The sequence below is a fragment of the Homo sapiens genome, chromosome 6, assembly GCF_000001405.40.
Source record: "Homo sapiens chromosome 6, GRCh38.p14 Primary Assembly".
NCBI classification, from domain to species: Eukaryota; Metazoa; Chordata; class Mammalia; order Primates; family Hominidae; genus Homo; species Homo sapiens.
The window spans coordinates 165,879,089-165,897,067 of record NC_000006.12 but is presented as its reverse complement, the minus strand read 5'-3'; the positions used below and the strand labels follow the sequence as shown (position 1 = coordinate 165,897,067).

General features: G+C 45.6%; 1 protein-coding gene across 3 annotated transcripts in view, besides 1 other annotated feature; it reads left to right on the top strand.

Moving 5' to 3' along the window:
* The window catches only part of PDE10A (phosphodiesterase 10A), a 660,764-nt gene that overhangs the window by 90,985 nt on the left and 551,800 nt on the right, over positions 1-17,979 (top strand). The gene's annotated exons all lie outside the window — the stretch shown is intronic.
* Positions 11,911-11,960: an enhancer, noted in NCBI's record as "active region_25427". NCBI's record gives its function as "activates an Ori minimal core promoter by ATAC-STARR-seq in GM12878 lymphoblastoid cells {active_cell/tissue: GM12878}" and the evidence as "EXISTENCE:reporter gene assay evidence [ECO:0000049][PMID:35858748]".

Sequence of the window (17,979 nt, the reverse complement as noted above, 5' to 3'; positions counted from 1 at the left end):
AGACTGTTGAGTGCCTCAAGATGGCCATGAAATCTGTTGTTAGCTGTCTCCTCTATAAGGATTCTCATGATTTTCCAGGCACTTAAAATATTTACTGAGGCCAGGGGTGGTGGCTCATGCATGTAATCCCAGCACTTTGAGAGACCGAGATGGGTGGATCACTTGAGGTCTGGAGTTCACGACCAGCCTGACCGACATGGTGAAACCCCGTCTCTACTAAAAATACAAAAATTAGCCATGTGTTGGCTGGGTGCGGTGGCTCACGCATGTAATCCCAGCACTTTGGGAGGCCGAGACAGGTGGATCACGAGGTCAGGAGGTCGAGACCATCCTGGCTAACACGGTGAAACCCCATCTCTACTAAAAATACAAAAAATTAGCAGGGCATGGTGGTGGGCGCCTGTAGTCTCAGCTACTCGGGAGGCTGAGGCAGGAGAATGGCGTGTACCCGGGAGGCGGAGCTTGCAGTGAGCCGAGATTGCGCCACTGTACTCCAGCCTGGGCGACAGAGCAAGACTCCATCTCAAAAAAAAAAAAAAAAAAAAATTAGCTGGCGTGTTGTGGTGGGCACCTGTAATCCCAGCTGCTTGGGAGGCTGAGGCATGAGAATCACTTGAACCCAGGAGGTGGAGGTTGTAGTGAGCCAAGATCGTGCCACTGCACTCCAGCCTAGGCAACAGAGCAAGACCCTATCTCCAAAAAAAAAAAAAAATTACTAAATATGTATTACATATAAAGCAGTGTGCTAGGTGTTTCAGTTACTAAAATGACAGTCATGGAAGCTGTCCTCAATATCTCACAGTTTAGTAGGACGACAAGATCTGTGTTGTATTAGCTGGGACAAGGTGAAACGGCTTCGACAGAGTCCCAACAAGATGACAACTCCAGCAAGATGCAGTGCTGGTCTGGGAGGTGTTTGGGTGGGCGCTGGGCTGTGCACCAGAGGGTTATCAAAGCCCAGTTCCTTCCCGTCCTGTTCTCACCACGGCCCGGGCAGGATGTGGCCTTTGCTTCTGCAGTTGAAGCTGGGTCTCTACCATATCAAGGCTCAGCTGGGAGAGTCGGATCCAGCCAGTGGGTGCAGAGGCCTGGGCATGGTGCACACCATGCTTGTTTCTGTTTCTGTGGCAGAAACTTAGTCAAATCCCTGGAGGTGGGATTGTGCAATCTGCTTGTGTGTCCAGAAGCCAGGACCAGGGGAGGATGGCTCTGGTGGACAATTCATCATCTCCACCATTGACAGGACTGGGGAGCCCGGAATGAAAGTACTGAGGATGCCGAGGCCCTCACAGGCAACATTCTAGTGCCCCTTGGGAACAGGAGGTTTTGGTAATTCAGGAAAGACACACATGAGAGCAGGAACTAGGGGTGGGGTCAGGACTTGGGCACGTGCAGGCTTGGCAAGTCTGAGAGGACTGTGGCAAAGGCCAGGACAGGGAAAGGGATAAGGAAGGCCTTTGTCTTATGGAGTGAGGACTTTGTGAAGAGGGTGATTCATTTCCCAGGGCTGCTGTGACAAAGGGCCACAGCCAGGTGGCTTAAAGCAACAGAAACATGTTCCCTCTCAGTTGTGGAGGCCAGAAGTCTGAGATTGAGGTGTGGGCAGGGCTGCGTTCTCTCCAAAGCCACCACGGAGGATCCTTCCTCACCTCTCCCAGCTTCTGGTGGCCATGGGCAGTCCTTGGCTTGAGGTTTCTCTGCCCACGTCTTCACAGGGTGGCCGTCCTCTGCATCTGTGTCTCTGTATCTCCATGGCCTTCTCCTCATGTCTGTCTCCTCTTCTTATAAGGACACCTGTTGTACCAGATGTATCAGAGTGGAGCCCGCCCTGATGGAGTATGACCTCATCCTCACATCTGCAAAGACCCTATTTCCAAATAAACTTGCATTCTCAAGTACTGCAGTTAGGAGTTTAACATATCTTTTACAGGGACAAAATTCAACCCTCAACAAGAGGACAGTGGATATTAGGTAGGAAGGATGGTTGAGAGGCAAACCTGTACTGAGCCAGGCTGAGTAGCTCAGACTGTGTTCCTTAGGCCAGTGGCTCTCAGTCCTGGCTATTTATCAGAACTACCTAAAAAGCTTTTGAAGATGCAGACATCAGATTCTACCCAAACCTACTGAATCAGTCATTGTAGGATATGAAATATTTAAAGCTCCATGGGTTTCTAATACTTACCCCAGGTTGAGAGCCACTGCTCTGGCTAATGAGGACCTCTTGAAAGGTTTTTATTTCTTGTGGTATCAGTTTTAGGACAGCTTGCAGCTTTGAACAAATATACTATAAATAATATTATCACATAATATTATAACACAATATGAACACATATTTATATGCATTTTCTAAGTTTCCATCCTAAAAGGTGACCCTCTGAATTGAGAAGAATCCTCAAGGTGCTATGTGGCCAGCCCCATGCTCGGTGGGAAGACTGCTTATCTTCTTCATGTGCTCTTCCTCGGGATATGTAGTACAGGGTTGTGGTCCTTCTCCAGGAGCCAGAACTACTCTTGGCTCCCCGTTGAGTTTGTGGTCTATTAAAACTCCCTCCCACATCTTTTGCACACGAAGGGCTATAAATCTAGGTTTTCCCTCTCCACCACTTGTTCAATTGATTTTTTGGAGCCTGAATGCAGGCCTTGACTTATATCTCTGTTTAATTTCATCTTGTGGTTTCAGCCAAGTGTTCTGGCCTGTCGAGGCCTTCTGTAGTTTCAGTCTGTCATTTTTTGCGTTAGCGCTGTCTCATAAATTTGTCATCTGCAGATTGGATCAACACATCTTCTCGGGCTTCACCAAATCACTGAAAAACCTGCCACCATGTCACAGGACAGACATATGATATTCCTCCAGAGACGGCTCTCCTTCGGAAAGCACTCTTTGGGAATGTAGTTCCTAAATCAGCTGTCATATTGAACAAACACCCAGTCAAGCCATATTTTATTCTTAGAGCACTCTTTTGAAACTTTAGTCATCCAGGAAGTGCTGCAAATGCACAGTTGGTCCTTGATGGACATGCCAGGAGGAGCAACGAGGGGAGACAAGGTGCCCAGGGCCATGAACACATCACTTGGTCTGCACCAAGAGAGTTCCAGCCACAGATAAAGAATCTTCATTGCCAACTTTGACCTGAAAGCAATGAATGGGTCAACTAAGCACCATGTGTTCATTACTGAGAAATAAATTCAAAGAGCTAACATGACACCATCTTGGAAGCCAAAAGCTAAAAAAAAAAAAAAAAATGGCACTAATGTTGTTGCGATTCAAACCCTACTTAAGTTCTATCAAATACCTGGACCGTTCAATCCCACTCAAAACCTTTATTGAACTCCTGCTATATATTTAGCAGGGTGCTAGACACTTGAGAATATACGAATATGTGGGTATACAGGAAAGGAAAGGCATTAGGAATGTGGGATGGGGTGACCAGAGGCCTAGCTGCCCGGCTGTGTAGATGCATGAGTGAGAAGTTCAGCCTCCCTCCCAAGCAGACATATCTGCTTCAAAGGCTAGTGCTGCTGTTTACTGGCTGTGTTTCCTCCGTCAAATTAATTAACTTCTCTGAGCCTCATTCTAGCCATTATAGCTATCTTAAACTATATTCACATTCTGGTTAAATGTCGACAATAAATAGAAGCCTAACTAACAAGACTGTGAGAACAAAATGAGAAGCATGAAAACAGCCTAACTTAGGAGAGTGCTTAACACATAGTAAGTGGTCAAGACAGCAACTTTTCTAGGAAAGCCAAGCAACTAAATTTAATGTGGACCAAAAAAAGGGCATTCGCAGGGCGAGGGGCAAAATCTGAAGAGTGACTATACAGTCATTAAAATTGCTGTAGCGATGCTTATTTCCTGATTTTGATAACTGCGCTGTGGTTATGTATTATTTCAGGAGGCTGGGTGAAGGATACATGGGAATGCTTTATATAATTTTTGCAACTTTTTGTAAATGTGTAACTATTTCAAAATGGAGTTAAAGAAATGAAAACATCAACTCCTTTCATGCATCTGTCTATTCCACCCCATAAAAGCTTAAATCCTACCTGGGGAGACAGCAGGTGTGAACGTGAGACCATCCCAGAACAACGAGAAGAGGAGGTCGTGCAGTGCCAGTGCTTGCATGGGTCAGAAAGGCTGGAGCGAGTAGGAGCTGAGGGAGCCACATACTTTCTAGAACTCCCTGCTCAATGCCTCGATTCCTCTCAAGTTCATGGTCAGCCTTCCCTTGGACAGAATGATTGCCCAAGACCCTTTTAACTTGATGGAGACAACAGTGTAATTCTCCCGACTATTCCTGGGGAGGGTGAGGCATGACACTCCCAGTACAAGAGGCTGAGAGAAATGCTTCGAAGTGGGCTGCTGAGCAGCAAAGGTGATGATGGGTCAGGGCCGGGGAGGGAGACACGGCCACTCACAGGGGACAGAGGAGCTGGGAACACAAACATGGAGCTCTAAGCCCTGCAGAAGGGACAACACAGCCGGAAGTCCAAGGAGAGCGCATGCACCCATGCCTTGGGGAGGCTGCCATACCTCCAGCATGCCAGCTGCCATGACACCTTCTGGTAAGGACGGACAGTCACAGGGCTCACACATGGTGGCCAGGCTCGGCATTCCCTTGGCTTTTCTTGCCACTGAGGGCACTGGGCGGAGCAGCCCTGCTGTGGTCTGATGTGGAAGGCGAGTGGATTCTCTGTGGCCATGTCCACTTTGGTCAGAGAGTGCTGGGGAATGAAGAGGGGGGAGTCCAGCCTTCTCTGGAGAGGTCCCTTGTGGACTGTTGTCCATGACCTCCTCCTGTGTCACCCGAACTCTCACCTCATGGTCCAGGAAGGCTCCTGCTTTGCACCTTCAACTCCCATCTCCCTCCATCACATCCCAGCGGTACCAAGAAGTTACCACTGGAATTTTCTTTGGAACTGAAAATTTCTGTGGGCAAAAGTCCAGCAGCTTCGGTTCAGAACATGTATAAATACTTTTTCCTTCTTCACCCGCCTCATGGATATTTTATGCTTGGATCATGTCCGGTCAGTGGGGGGAGAATCGAGTTTTACTAGGACTTCCGATGGGTGAATACTGGAAGCTGCAAAACTTCATCACATTAAAAAAAAAAAAAGTCCAAGGTGTTTTCTCCATACAAGGGCAAGAAACCCCATTCAGAGTTTGTGATTATGGGGGTGATCACGAAGGTTATTAATAACCAGGAATAAGGGTCATGGCTTTTGTTGCCTAGAACGGAGATGAGACATGCTATAACTACTGTTTCAGCTATGTGACCTCTTATTAACTAGCCTAGAATTACATTACAGATGCCTTGAATTTTATTTCCAGTCAACGAAGAAGAAAGAAAAATAGGGAGGAACAAGAATAACAATAACGACAACACTGCACTCCCACCAAGATCCCTCATTCTAGTCTCCTACGGCAGCCTGGAGTAGGACTGTGACCAGGACCTGCAGCCATCTAGTCCCCTGGTGGCAGGGACAGGCAGCATCCTCTTGAGGTCAGGTTGCAGCCAGTGTTCCAGGCTGGACAAGGGCCCCATCAGAGACCCTGGTGAGGTTACCATGAGGTTTCCAGGACGCTGAGGGGCTGGTTCTCCCTGGCTGAACCTGGGAGGCTGGGAGATCTGACTCTGTAGCAGCAACCACTTGGGGACAGCTGGCGACAACTCACCCCCAAATGCAGGGAAATGGTAACAGGGCTGAGTGACAAAGAACGCCTGGGCCCTGGTGGCACCTGAGCCTCAGACCAATCCACTTCTGAAGCTTATCAGTTACATGAACTTAACCATTACATGAGCCAGCAAATCCCAAATGAGATGCAAATACAGAATGATATCATTTACATGTAGAATTGACATAAATGAAAGCTACTTTCCAGATGTTTGGAAAGGCCCTTTGAAAAACCTGCAACACTGGACAGAAATTCCAACCCTTTAAGGAACGCAATGGGTGACAACGTGATCAGAATGCACAGAGGGCTCAAAATCCTCTCCACGGGCTTCAACCACCAATCTCACAAAATGTTCAAGATCTTTCAGTTTCAAAAAGGCAGTCTACTAGGTTGTAAGGTTGTGGGAAAAATCATTTGTTATCTTGTGGAATTTGAGAGAGTGGAGACCAACCTGGGCAGGGGATAATGAGAAAACCTAAAATACTGCTCAGACCTGTCCTGCGTTGGAACCGCAGTAGGGATCCCTTTAGTAATACAGAAATTACAGCCTTTGTTTCTTTTGTAACTTGAAAGTTAGAACAGCTCTTCGCTTCCAGAAGGAGCTCTGTATAAAGCGATAGAGACCTAATGGCCTTATATGGCCACCCGTACCAGTATCTGTTCCTTTAACCCTCTCACCGGGAGCCTGTTCTGTCCTTCACCTTTCTAACGCTGTGATTTCTCAGGTAAAGGCAGGAACGTCTTTGCGCCTACTTGAGATCCACTGAGAAACGTAGGGGCACAATGGGGGCTTTCTCTACCTGCCTAGAGGAGGAAGAATGACTTGTAACTCTGGCGGTAATGTTTTTGTCATAAGCAGAGGGTCAGTCGGTGCTGACAAACTCAGCAGCTTCTAATGAGGTCCACACATACTCAGGAGGACAAAAAATTGAGGATTTAAGGCATGAGCTAAACAGCTAAAGCCACTGTCGCGGAAGACAGTGATTTATTGTTTGTCATCCTTCTCTCTCTTGACCATCTAGCTAACACTTTCCATCTTAAAAAAGTAAATGCTATTGACAGGGTCAGGCCACCTTCCTGTCTTCCTCCGCGGTGTGGTCTTTCCAGTGATTGCTGCCATCAAGTGGGAAAGAGAGAAACAGCAGGCTCCGCACGTGGGGAAAGTCTGGGGGTGACTTTTTACTTGCATGATGACAACACAGAGACCCTGGCTTCTGTCTAAATGACTCTAAATGACATTCAGCTAAAGTCACACAGGATGAGGGAGGAGTGAGGGAGAAGTCAGTGAGGAGTGAGGGAGGAGTGAGGAGTGAGTGAGGAGTGAGGGAGGGAGGAGTGAAGAGTGAGGGAGGAGTGAGGGAGGGAGGAGGGAGGGAGTGAGGAGTGAGGGAGGGAGGAGTGAGGAGTGAGGGATGGAGGAGTGAGGAGTGAGGGAGGGAGGAGGGAGGGAGGAGTGAGGGAGGAGTGAGGAGTGAGGGAGGGAGGAGGGAGGGAGGGAGGAGTGAGTGAGGGAGGAGTGAGGAGTGAGTGAGGGAGGAGTGAGGAGTGAGTGGGGCGAGAGGGAGGGAGGAGTAGGTGAGTGAGGAAATGATTGGTGCAGTACTCAGCCTCTTGGGTTTCCTGCAGGAAATCTTCCTGTGCCGTGTTAGTCTAGAGGGTCCATAGTTTCCGAGTAGAGTCATAGTCCTGTCATGGAGGACACTTGAGGGGAAACAGAAGGAGGATTTCTGAGATTGGTATTTTTTTGCTGCCAAGAACAGGAGAAGCCTAGGAAAGCACCAGTTTATGCTCATTTTCTAACGTGTGCCTGGATGGAGCTAGCAGCTCTAACATATCCCCTCAATGACGGCAACTCCATCAGAAAGCTTGCTGGGTTCCCTGAGTGCAGATGTAAGCCTGGAGATATTCCCCCGTGAACCCAATGGTGTGGCAGAGCCAATGGCTTTTCCCCTTTGGAAGCTGGCACAGTTCACCAAGAAGACTGAGAACGTCCTTGCTTAGGGAGGTGTTGCATATGAGAGTGCAGATTGGGAAACAACTAGCAACAGCGCATTTTGTAGAAGTAACAATGTGTGCAAATAATTCATTATCTAACTAAGGCTTTCTCTCCTTCCTGCTGGCACCTGTGGTCCATATTCCTCCATAGGCAGCATCACACCATGATTTACACCATAGAGCCTGCATGATATCAATCCCAAGGGGCAAAAATGTGGTTCTAGGGGTAGCAGCAAAAATATTAGTTACTACCATGGTTTGTGGTCCTCTAAAGCTCAATGCTTCCCAACAAAATGTTACTTCTTAGTTTTTAAGTTCTGTCTTTGGATTCTCTTTGGTAATCCATAGGCAGCATTGATATTCAGTTCATAAAAGATACACAAAAAGTATGCAAGATCAGGAATTTTAAAAACTAAGGTAAATAGATGGCTGTGATTGCAGGACTTCTGATTGACTGCCTGAGCTCTGCCATGTTCACAGATGTGGATGTTTGAATTATCTATGTATTTGGCCAAGGTTCATTATATTTTCTAAGTCTGAAAACTGATGTCTTTCAAATACTCAACTAGTGAATTCCTCTCCTTCTGGAACTCTAATTAAATGTGTGTTGGACCTATCACTCTATCCTCCATAACTCTCACCATGCTTTTCAATGTTCTGCATTTCTTAGGCTCATGCATTTTTGGAGTGATTGCTCTGAGCCGGACACTGTTCAAGGCACTTGGAAAACATCCACAAACAAACAAATAAAAATCCCAGCCTTGGTAGAAGTTACATTCCCGCAGAAGGCAATAGGCAACTGAAAAAAAGCAGGCCAGGTGCGGTGGCTCACGCCTGTAATCTCAGCACTTTGGGAGGCTGAGGCGGGTGGAGCATGAGGTCAGGAGATCGACACCATCCTGGCCAACATGGTGAAACCCTGTATCTACTAAAATACAAAAAACTAGCCAGGCGTGTTGGTGCACGTTTGTAGTCCCAGCTACTCGGGAGGCTGAGGCAGAGGAATCACTTAAACCTGGGAGGCAGAGATTGCAGTGAGCTGAGATCACACCACTGCACTCCAGGCTGGCGACAAAGCGAGACTCCATTAAAAAAAAAAGAAAAGAAAAGAAAAGCAAGCATAGGTAAATCAAATGGAAGATTGGAAGGTAATGAGCTATACTAAATTCAAAAAGGTAAAGCCAGGTGTGTGGTTTGGGAATGCTGGGATGGAGGGGTGAGCAAAGATGATCAAGGTAACCTCTTTGAAAAAGTAAGTTGGAGCCAAGACTGTAAGAAGGTGTGTGAATTAGCCATATAAATAACTGGTCTCAGGCAGAGGGAACAGCCAGTGCAAAGACCTTAAGGAGCGAGCATCCCCAGCATGTCTCAGAAACAAGGAGGCCAGCATGACTGAAGGGAAATTAATGAGGAGAGGGAATGGAACAGGGTGAGGTAAGAGATGCAAAGAGGAGGCAGATCAGGTAGGGCCCAGTGAGCCATTGAAAGAACTTTGTCTTTTCCACTGCTTGTAATTGTTCAGAGAAGTAATGATGTCATTGGAATTTAAAAATGATCACTCTGGCTCCCATTATTGTAAAGGGCTGAATGTAGGCATGGGAAGGCCAATCAGATAATCAGAGTGAACTTTAATGCTGGCTTGTAAAATAAAGATAAAGGTGAGACTGGTGAGAAAATGTCAGACTCTGGATGTGTCTTGAAGGTAGAACCAACATGATTTGATGATGGGTTGGATATGAGTTCAGAATGCAAGAGTTTTTCCAGATAACTCTAAGCATATTGGTCTTAGTCACTGGAAGAGTTATGAGAAGAGAAGGCCTGGGAACGCTGCTGGCTGAGAGGACTGCAGGGGCAATTCTGTCCCCTGTGAAGAACCTGGCTCACCTACAGCATCAAAGTGAAGGAAAGGTTCAGGAGGAAGGTTAATGATGGAAACTTGTCAATCTGTGCATTCTACATTACAAAATGACATGGCTTCAGAAGTTGGGGACGGTAGAGAAGGACAAAACAGGGAATATGCAGAGTTGATATGGAGATAAGAACCCAGTGATGAAGGAGAACCCAAGAATCTGGGGGTTCTTCTGGTGACTGGTATAAACACAGATAAGGCAAAATGAGATTGTCCAGATAGATTCAAGGCAGGTAGTGTTAGTAAGGCTGTGAGTGTGGGGCAGAAATGGGTGGGATTGTAGGCTCCTTCTTCACCCCTGATGGTGGGAGAAGAAGGTTCATGCTCATCTTTCAGTTCACTAATTGTCTCTTCAGCTGTGTCTAACCTGCTGTTTAACTCATTCATTGATTTTTCTTTTCTTTTGTAGATCTTATAAATCTCCCCAATTGTTTAAAATGATTTCAGTATCTTGCTCATGTTTTCATGTTTTTCTTTGTCCTCTTACTATAGGAAACTTATTTATTTATTTTAAACTCCACTGTATTCTATATCTGGTATTTCCATTTCCAAAGTATTCGAGTGACAGATTCTCCTCTCTGTTGTTTCCACTTACTCTCACTCAAGATGGCATTATGCTTCCCAGTGTGAGCTCATGCTTAGTGTGATTTTATCTGTGGAAGTTCCCTGAGATACTAGAGAAAGGTATGTTCCTCCAGAGAGGATCTTCATTTGATTTTTTTCAAACACTTCTTGGTGCTACCAGTCTGACAAGACTTTAAAACAATGGCCTTAGTTAGTCTGTGCTCACAGAGTAAATCTGAACCCCAAACCAAGCCAACATGTGATACAGATTCTCGATGGGACATATTTTCCCTTCAAAAAAGCAAGGCCAAGAAGTTTCCATTTTGTTTCCTTCTGATTTCTTCTTGTTCAACCCTCACTGAGCAACTTCTGGATTCTGGCTTTGTGTAGGAGTCCTGTTCCTGTACTCACTTTGCACAGGCAGGCCCCAGGCTATCTTCTGACTTCTGTGCGCTTAGCAAACCCATCAGGAGCAGCAAGCACTTTGGGGCTTCTCCTGGCTCCAGGGCTGCAGAGCTGCAGGGCTCCAGGGCTTCTGGCTCCAGGGCTCCAGGGTTCCAGGGCTGGAGGATTTCCAGGACTCTGGGGCTCCAGGGCTCCAGTATTCCAGGGGTCCAGGGCTCCAGGGCTGCAGGACTCCAGGGCCCAGGGGTCCAGGATTCCAGGACTCCAGGTCTGCAGGGCTCCAGGGTTCCAGGGCTCCAGGGCTGCAGGGCTCCAGGGCCTGCTGGAATCCACATTCCACCTATAACATCCCTAATAAATTCAGCTATGCCCATAATAGGATTTCTGAAAAACTTACCTAACATTTTTAGAATGTTTTGTGGCAAGAGTTTTCATATTACAATGATTCAAAAAATAAATGAAATTTTATGTATGTTTACAGTTTTCTTGGCATAGTGTACAACTTATGATAGACAATATTTTTCGAGGAGACGAATACACATACACAGACGTCTAAAGTTATATAAGGTATATAAAATCCCACATTTAAACTTACTTATCTGTAAGGTCTCTCTATCTTTAGCCAAAAGAGCATAACAGGTTATTTTATTGAGACTTTCTGTCTTCCCTTCCAACACACATATGCATACACATGTCTACACATATGCCGGATGTGCAGCTCTAAAAGAGGAACACAGAACATAATTGTTCATTTGGCATTGCCCATGTATCAAAGGCATCCAATAAAGGCAAACAAGAGTGAAGGACGCACTGGATCTGCCCAGGAGCTTTAGACAACCAGGCCTTCCCTCTCCCACCTTTCAGCCAGCGCTGAGCAGAGCTGTCTTCAGTGAGATCCGCACCTCTGTTCATCCGCAGGCCTCCTGCTCACAGCATGGGGGAGAGCTTCACTTTGCTGCCGTTCCCACCTCATCCTCACCCACTGATATGGTTTGCCTCCGTGTCTCCACCCAAATCTCATCTTGAATTCTAATCCTCATGTGTCAGGGGAGGCACCTGGCGGGAGGTGATTGGATCACGGGGGCAGTTTCCCTGATGCTGTTCTCGTGATAGTGAAGGAGTTCTCACGAGATCTGACGGTTTTAAAGTGTGGCGCTTCTCCTTTGCTTCTCTCTCGCTTCTGCCACCTTGTGAAGAAGGTGCCCACTTCCCCTTTGCCTTCCGCCATGATTGTAAGTTTCCTGAGGCCTCCTCTGCCGTGCAGAACTGTGAGTCTTTTCTTTATAAATTACCCAGTCTCCGGTAGTCCTTTAAAGCAGTGTGAAATAGACGAATACACCTGCGTTTCAAATCGATTTTAAAAAGAGACATCATGTTCATCTGGAATCTTTGTGAGTCTGAAAGCCACAAAGCACACCCCTGTAGTTCCCAGCTCTGGGTGGGCCGGCTTCCTTACTTGGTCTACGCTGCCACCTGGCGGTAAACGGCGGCAGGGGCGTGCACATGAAGGCCGCACCGCAGTCTAGGCGGAATTCAGTAATTAAACCCACACAGGACGACACAGCCTTGCAATTACGCGCACCGCCACTGCTCCCTTCTTCCCTCCCTCTGTGTTTATTTCCTTCCCCTAAATTATTCCTGTGTTGTGTCCAATTAGCCCTGAAGCCCTCACAGCTGAAGATGTTTATAATTTTCTTAAACAAAGCCTCGCTCATTGCAGTGTTCAATTAATCTGACCCATTATTGTGGTTGTTATCAAAAGGAGATCAATTACACTTGATTTGAGTTCATTTCTGTGTTCCTCTTTAAGTGTCTGCAAGGATGTTTTACATAAAATTCATTTCAGTCATATCAGGATTGAATAGTTTATATCAACTTTAAGTTTCTATGTTTGAGTCAAACAAACCCATGTGATATAAGTTGATTGAAATTATGTATGGTTTTAAAAAATAGTATAGTTGGGAGTTTCAGGGGGGAGACAGGTGTGGAAGGTAGGACAGTAAAGGACCCGTGGCTTCTGATTTCAACTCTGCCACTCGAGGGTTCTGGGACTTTGGGTGAGTCACTGAACTGTCTGTGTCCCAGGCAGGGCCTTCCTCCAGCTGCTGTCCAGGACCTGCATTCCTGTGGTTCTTTAAGTAGTAACTAAGATGGGAGTCAAATCTGGGCATCAAAAATCGATGAAAGACGCTTTTATTCAATCACAGTTTTATAAAGCTTTGGGGAAGGAACACCGTTTTTAAAATGTGTGCCTCTAAACTTTCCTGACTTCCTGTCCCCCACCCTTGCCTTTGCAGTCTCCCAGCAGACACCACGTGTGCCCCAAAGCACAATTTTTATTTCTTGAGACAGTGGCTCTTCCTTCGGTCCCCGATTCCTGTGCCGTTGGGACTGTGGGTGACCTCCTGTTTAAACACGCCTCCCTCCTTCTCTGCACACCCTCCCATCACCTTCCTCCACCTGCTTTGACATCTGTGCTCGAGGTGGTAGGAGGATGGCTTCAGGCACGCAGATGCCCTGGGTGCTGGTGGGCTTTCTCTCCGGAGTCGGCATACCTGGCTTCCCCTCGAGGACCTCCCCTCAAGGACCACCAAGCTGAGTCCCTGAGACCTAGGATCCGAGCTTATTTGAGCTTATTGAGCAAAGTGGTGGGGTGTGGCCTGTCATTTAGGCCTGTGTCTCTTTAGCTTGAGTTCTGTATGGGCGGCTTAGGGTAGATCAGTGCTGACTGTTCAACACCGAAGCTGGGATTGCTGGGATCACACACCTCCTCGTGTTCCTCTCAGGCTCACAGCACCTCAGTGGGGTGTGCGAGGATCCCAGCAAGCCCGCCTCTGCCACTCCTGTTGTTGCCCCCTAGACCCCTCAGCCAGCCTTCCTGCCTGAATGCACATAAGGTTTCCAGAAACTGAAAATCCCCTCACCCTTCTTTGGTGGGGGAGAGTTTATTTTTATTTTTATTTATTTTTTTTTTTTTTGAGACGGAGTCTCAATTTGTCGTCAAGGCTGGAGTGCAGTGGCGTGGTCTTAGCTCACTGCCTCCCACCATCTGGGTTCAAGCGAGTCTCCTCCCTCAGCCTCCTGAGTAGCTGGGATTACAGGCAGCTGTCACCATTCTGGGCCATTTTTGTATTCTTGGTAGAGACAAGGTTTTGCCACGTTGGCCAGGCTGGTCTTGAACTCCTGACCTCAAGTGATCTGCCCACCTTAGTCTCCCAAAGTGCTGGGATTTCAGGTGTGAGCCACTGCATCTGGCAAATCCTTCTTCTTCTTTTATTTTCTTTGACAGAGTCTTGCTCTATTGCCCAATCTGGAGTGCAGTGGCACGATCTTGGCTCACTGCAACCTCTGCTTCCCAGGTTCAAGCAATTCTCCTGTCTCAGCCTCCTGAGTAGCTGGGACTGCAGGCGTGCGCCACTGCACCCGACTAATTTTTGTATTTTTAGTAGAGATGGGGTTTCACCATTTTGGCCAAGCTGGTCTCAAACTCCTGACCTCGAGCAATCTGCCCGCCTCCGCCTCCCAAAGTGCTGGGATTACAGGCATGAGCCACCATACCCGGCGCAAATCCTTCTTTTAATTTCTAATTGTGATAGGTGAGTTTTCTTTTCTTCTGTAGCTTGGCTCCTGGGGTTGAGAACAGGGACGTGATAAACCAAAGCACCAAAAAATTCTAGAGGCCCTGGAAACACACTGGGAAATTGTTTCATAGCCACGATCAGAGTTTGCCAGGAGGGAGGCTTTTTTTTTTTTTTTCTGAGTGATCTTTTCTAGTGCTTATTAAGTAGCTAAAAAAGATTTTGGAAGATACATGTGCCATGAATGATAGAAGACCATGTGTACTTCTCAACACACATTTGCTAATACTGTGTGGAAATGCTGCCGTCCTTGTATGCTTTTGAAGGTTGCCGTCAGTTTTCAGCAAAACACCGTTGAGTCTACAACTCATGGCCATGCTGAACCTAAATAAAAATGCAGGTGGAAACTTAGCAGAAGGTCTTGTTATCCTTTTTAAGCCAGTGGCAGGAATACTTGATATACACCTACCTGAGGTCTAGATCCTTTTAAATTAGACATATTTTATAACTTACTTTTATGCTTGGTTTTATAATACACAATGGTATTAATGATCAGTTTTTATTCATTCATACAACACCAATATCATGCTATGATGTGCTAGACACTGCCTTGGACACCAGGTTTAGGAAAGTACAGAGATGTCCTTGGGGAACACACAGTCTAGCTGCTCAGACAGATGTATCAACAAGTAATTCTAATAAAACTGAAGAAGTTCCATGAGAGATGGGTCATGCGACCATGAGAATCAAGGGTTACTCTTCTGACTAGGTCGGGGATGGCCATGGAGTGGAAATCAATCTGCCACGTATTTCAGTTTATTTCACACTTCAGCTTTCACTTAGATCAGTGGTTCTTTGGGCCAGAGGGCTGATTTCTACGTGACTGGTGTCTGACGAAATGAGAGGATGCATGAGAGGAGGTGCTGATGTCTGGCAGCTGCCATCAGTAATGTCCTCAGGCAGCAGATCACGTGAATCATTCATTAAACCCTTCTGCCTGGGCGGCACACTTTGCATAAGGTACAAATAATGTCACGGGCAATGTTTTTTCAAGTGACTTGTCTTTTTGCCACAGTAAGAGAAAAAAATATATATGTATGATGGAGGGGGCAGTTGAATTGTCGGAGTGAGAAGAAATAATCCACTTACAGATTCTTGGATTAGTGCAGTCATTATTTCCTTCACTCTGTGTATTTAGTCAAATGCAACCTGGGGGAGGCTGACCTAAAGAAATTGCTTGGGCTGGGCTCAGTGGCTCATGCCTGTGAGCCCAGCACTTTGGGAGCGGGCAGGCGGATCACGAGGTCAAGAGATCGAGACCATCCTGGCCAACATGGTGAAACCCCACCTCTAAAAATACAAAAAAAAAAAAAATTAGCTGGGCATGGTGGTGCGCACCTGTAGTCCCAGCTAATCCTCAGGAGGCTGAGGCAGGAGAATCACCTGAACCCAGGAGGGGGAGATTGCAGTGAGCTGAAATCCCACCATTGCACTCCACCCTGGCGACAGAGCAAGACTCCATCTCAAAAAAAAAAAAAAAAAAAAAAGAAAAGAAAAAAGAAAAGAAATTGCTTGTTGCTGTGTCCTCAGCTAGAAAACTACTTGTAAAGATGTGATTTGTTTATATTTACAGAGTGTTTTACTGTCTCAAAGGATGGAGTTTAGATGTTATTTATTTAAACATTTCTGGTTTTGAAGGGCTGACATTTTGAAATTAATTGAACATTTCCATTCCTATTAGCCAAAGCATTGCCTGGTGTTCTGGTTTAGTAAAGAAGGTGAAACACATCAGAGAAGCCTAGAAGCCATTTCAACTTCTTACAGATTCTGAATATACAACCAGTCTTTTCAAAGTCTGGTTTTGTTTACCATTTTTCTTTTTTGTTCAAAAACGTGGTTTGTGTGGTTTAAAGAACACAAAGAAAGGCATATGAAACTACACAGAAGGCTTCTTAAACATCAAAAACTCTTATGAAATGACAAAATGATGAGTTAAGTATAAAGGAATTAGAAACATATGGATGAAATTTCCCTCGAAATGCACATGGATTTAACAACTAGGAGGAAAGAGTGCTTGGCAAAAAAGAATGCTTTGGGTTTTCCTGAGCCCAGAAGGTTTGATAAATCACTTGTAGCATTTTGCCAAACTTAACCAGCTGCCAGCTGAGCCTGTTCCCAATGAAAAGTCTTCACATGGTATGATTTTATGATTGGAAACTAGTAACACTTAATATCAGAGAAAAATGGCATCACAGCACACCAAAGGCCCTGGCCAAGGTTGAGGCAGAAGAACATGGGGATGGAGTAGATGAACATTTAAAGGACTCTACACTTTCAAAAATGTATAAGGGCTCATTTGGGTAGAAAAATGTATGGTTAGAAAAAAAGAATCTCATTAAAAACTGGAGGTGTTCAGGGCAAAATGAGAAGACACTTCTCTGCATCCAGCATCTGGCCCAACATCCTTGCATTTTGAATTCTGAAAACAAATACAACCTAATCATAAACAGGAACAGATGTCCACATAGATTCAAACCCCACTCCTAGTACCAATTCTCTATCAGTCTGGATCCAATCAGACAAGAGAAACTACACAGTAATTTGAACAGGGCAAATTTATACCATGGCAATACTTATAAGAATCTAATTCAAATACATTATTGTTGAGCATAAAACAATGTAGAAAGTTAACTGACTCTACACCTACTTCCAAAGAACTATTAGAAGGCCAAATAGCCCAAAGATGCCGTCTGGCAGAGTGGTTAGGAGGACTGACCTGACTCAAGCACCTGGGCTCACAGCCCTCAAGTGCTGTACAGGCCTCCTCTTATGAAGAAAAAGAAATGCTTCCCTGGAAACCTCTACAAATTATTCTCTTTCTGGAGCTTTACTTTCCAATAGGTAATAATTTCTGTTTCCTCCACTATTGGTTTTTATGGGCTTCATGGATCATAATGGAGACAAGTTTGTTAGGATAAATTTCCCAACTTTACTGGGTTAAAGAGTGTCCCCCCCCGAGAATTCATATCCACCGAGAAGCTGTAAATGTGACCTAATTTGGAGACACGGTTGGCCCCTTCATATCAGTGATTTTCACATCCACTCATTCTACCAACCACGGATTTAAAAGATTACAAAATTTTTAAAAACTGTGACAAAAAAATCATATAAATAAAACGGTAAATATAACAACTGCTTTCACAGCATTTACATTAGGTATTAGAAGTAGGTATTATGAGTAATCTCGAGACAATTTAAAGTACACAGGAGGTTGTGTGTAGGTTATGCAAACACTGCACCGTTTTACATCAGCGACTTGAGCATCCGAGGATTTTGATATCTGTAGGGGGTCCTGGAACCAATCCCCTGAAGATAGCAAGGGATGGCTGTAGGGACCTTGCTAATGTAATTAAGTTAAATGAGGTCATATTTGATTGGGGTGGGTCTAATCCAACAGGATGGGTGTCCTCAAAAGAAGGCCATGTGCAGACACAAAGACCCAGAGAGAGGACAGTCAGGCGACAACAGACACAGAGGTTGGTTGTTGATGGGGTTCTCTGCTGCCAAGTATTTTGCTGGTCCCCCAAAATTGCTCAAACTACAGCAAAGCTAAGATTTTGAAAGTCCAGCAGCTTGAACTCCCTTAGCAAATTTGATAAAATTCACCATTTCAAAGATAAAATTCAAGTAATACATTGGTGGCCATTGTATGAATGTTATACCTTTAAATACCTACAGGAATAATTGTCTGAATGAGTCAAATTATAAACAATGCAATTTTCTGTCCCAATTTAGCAGGTGCCTCTAAGCCCATAAAAGATGCTGGGAGACATTATATCCAGGTCAGTTGC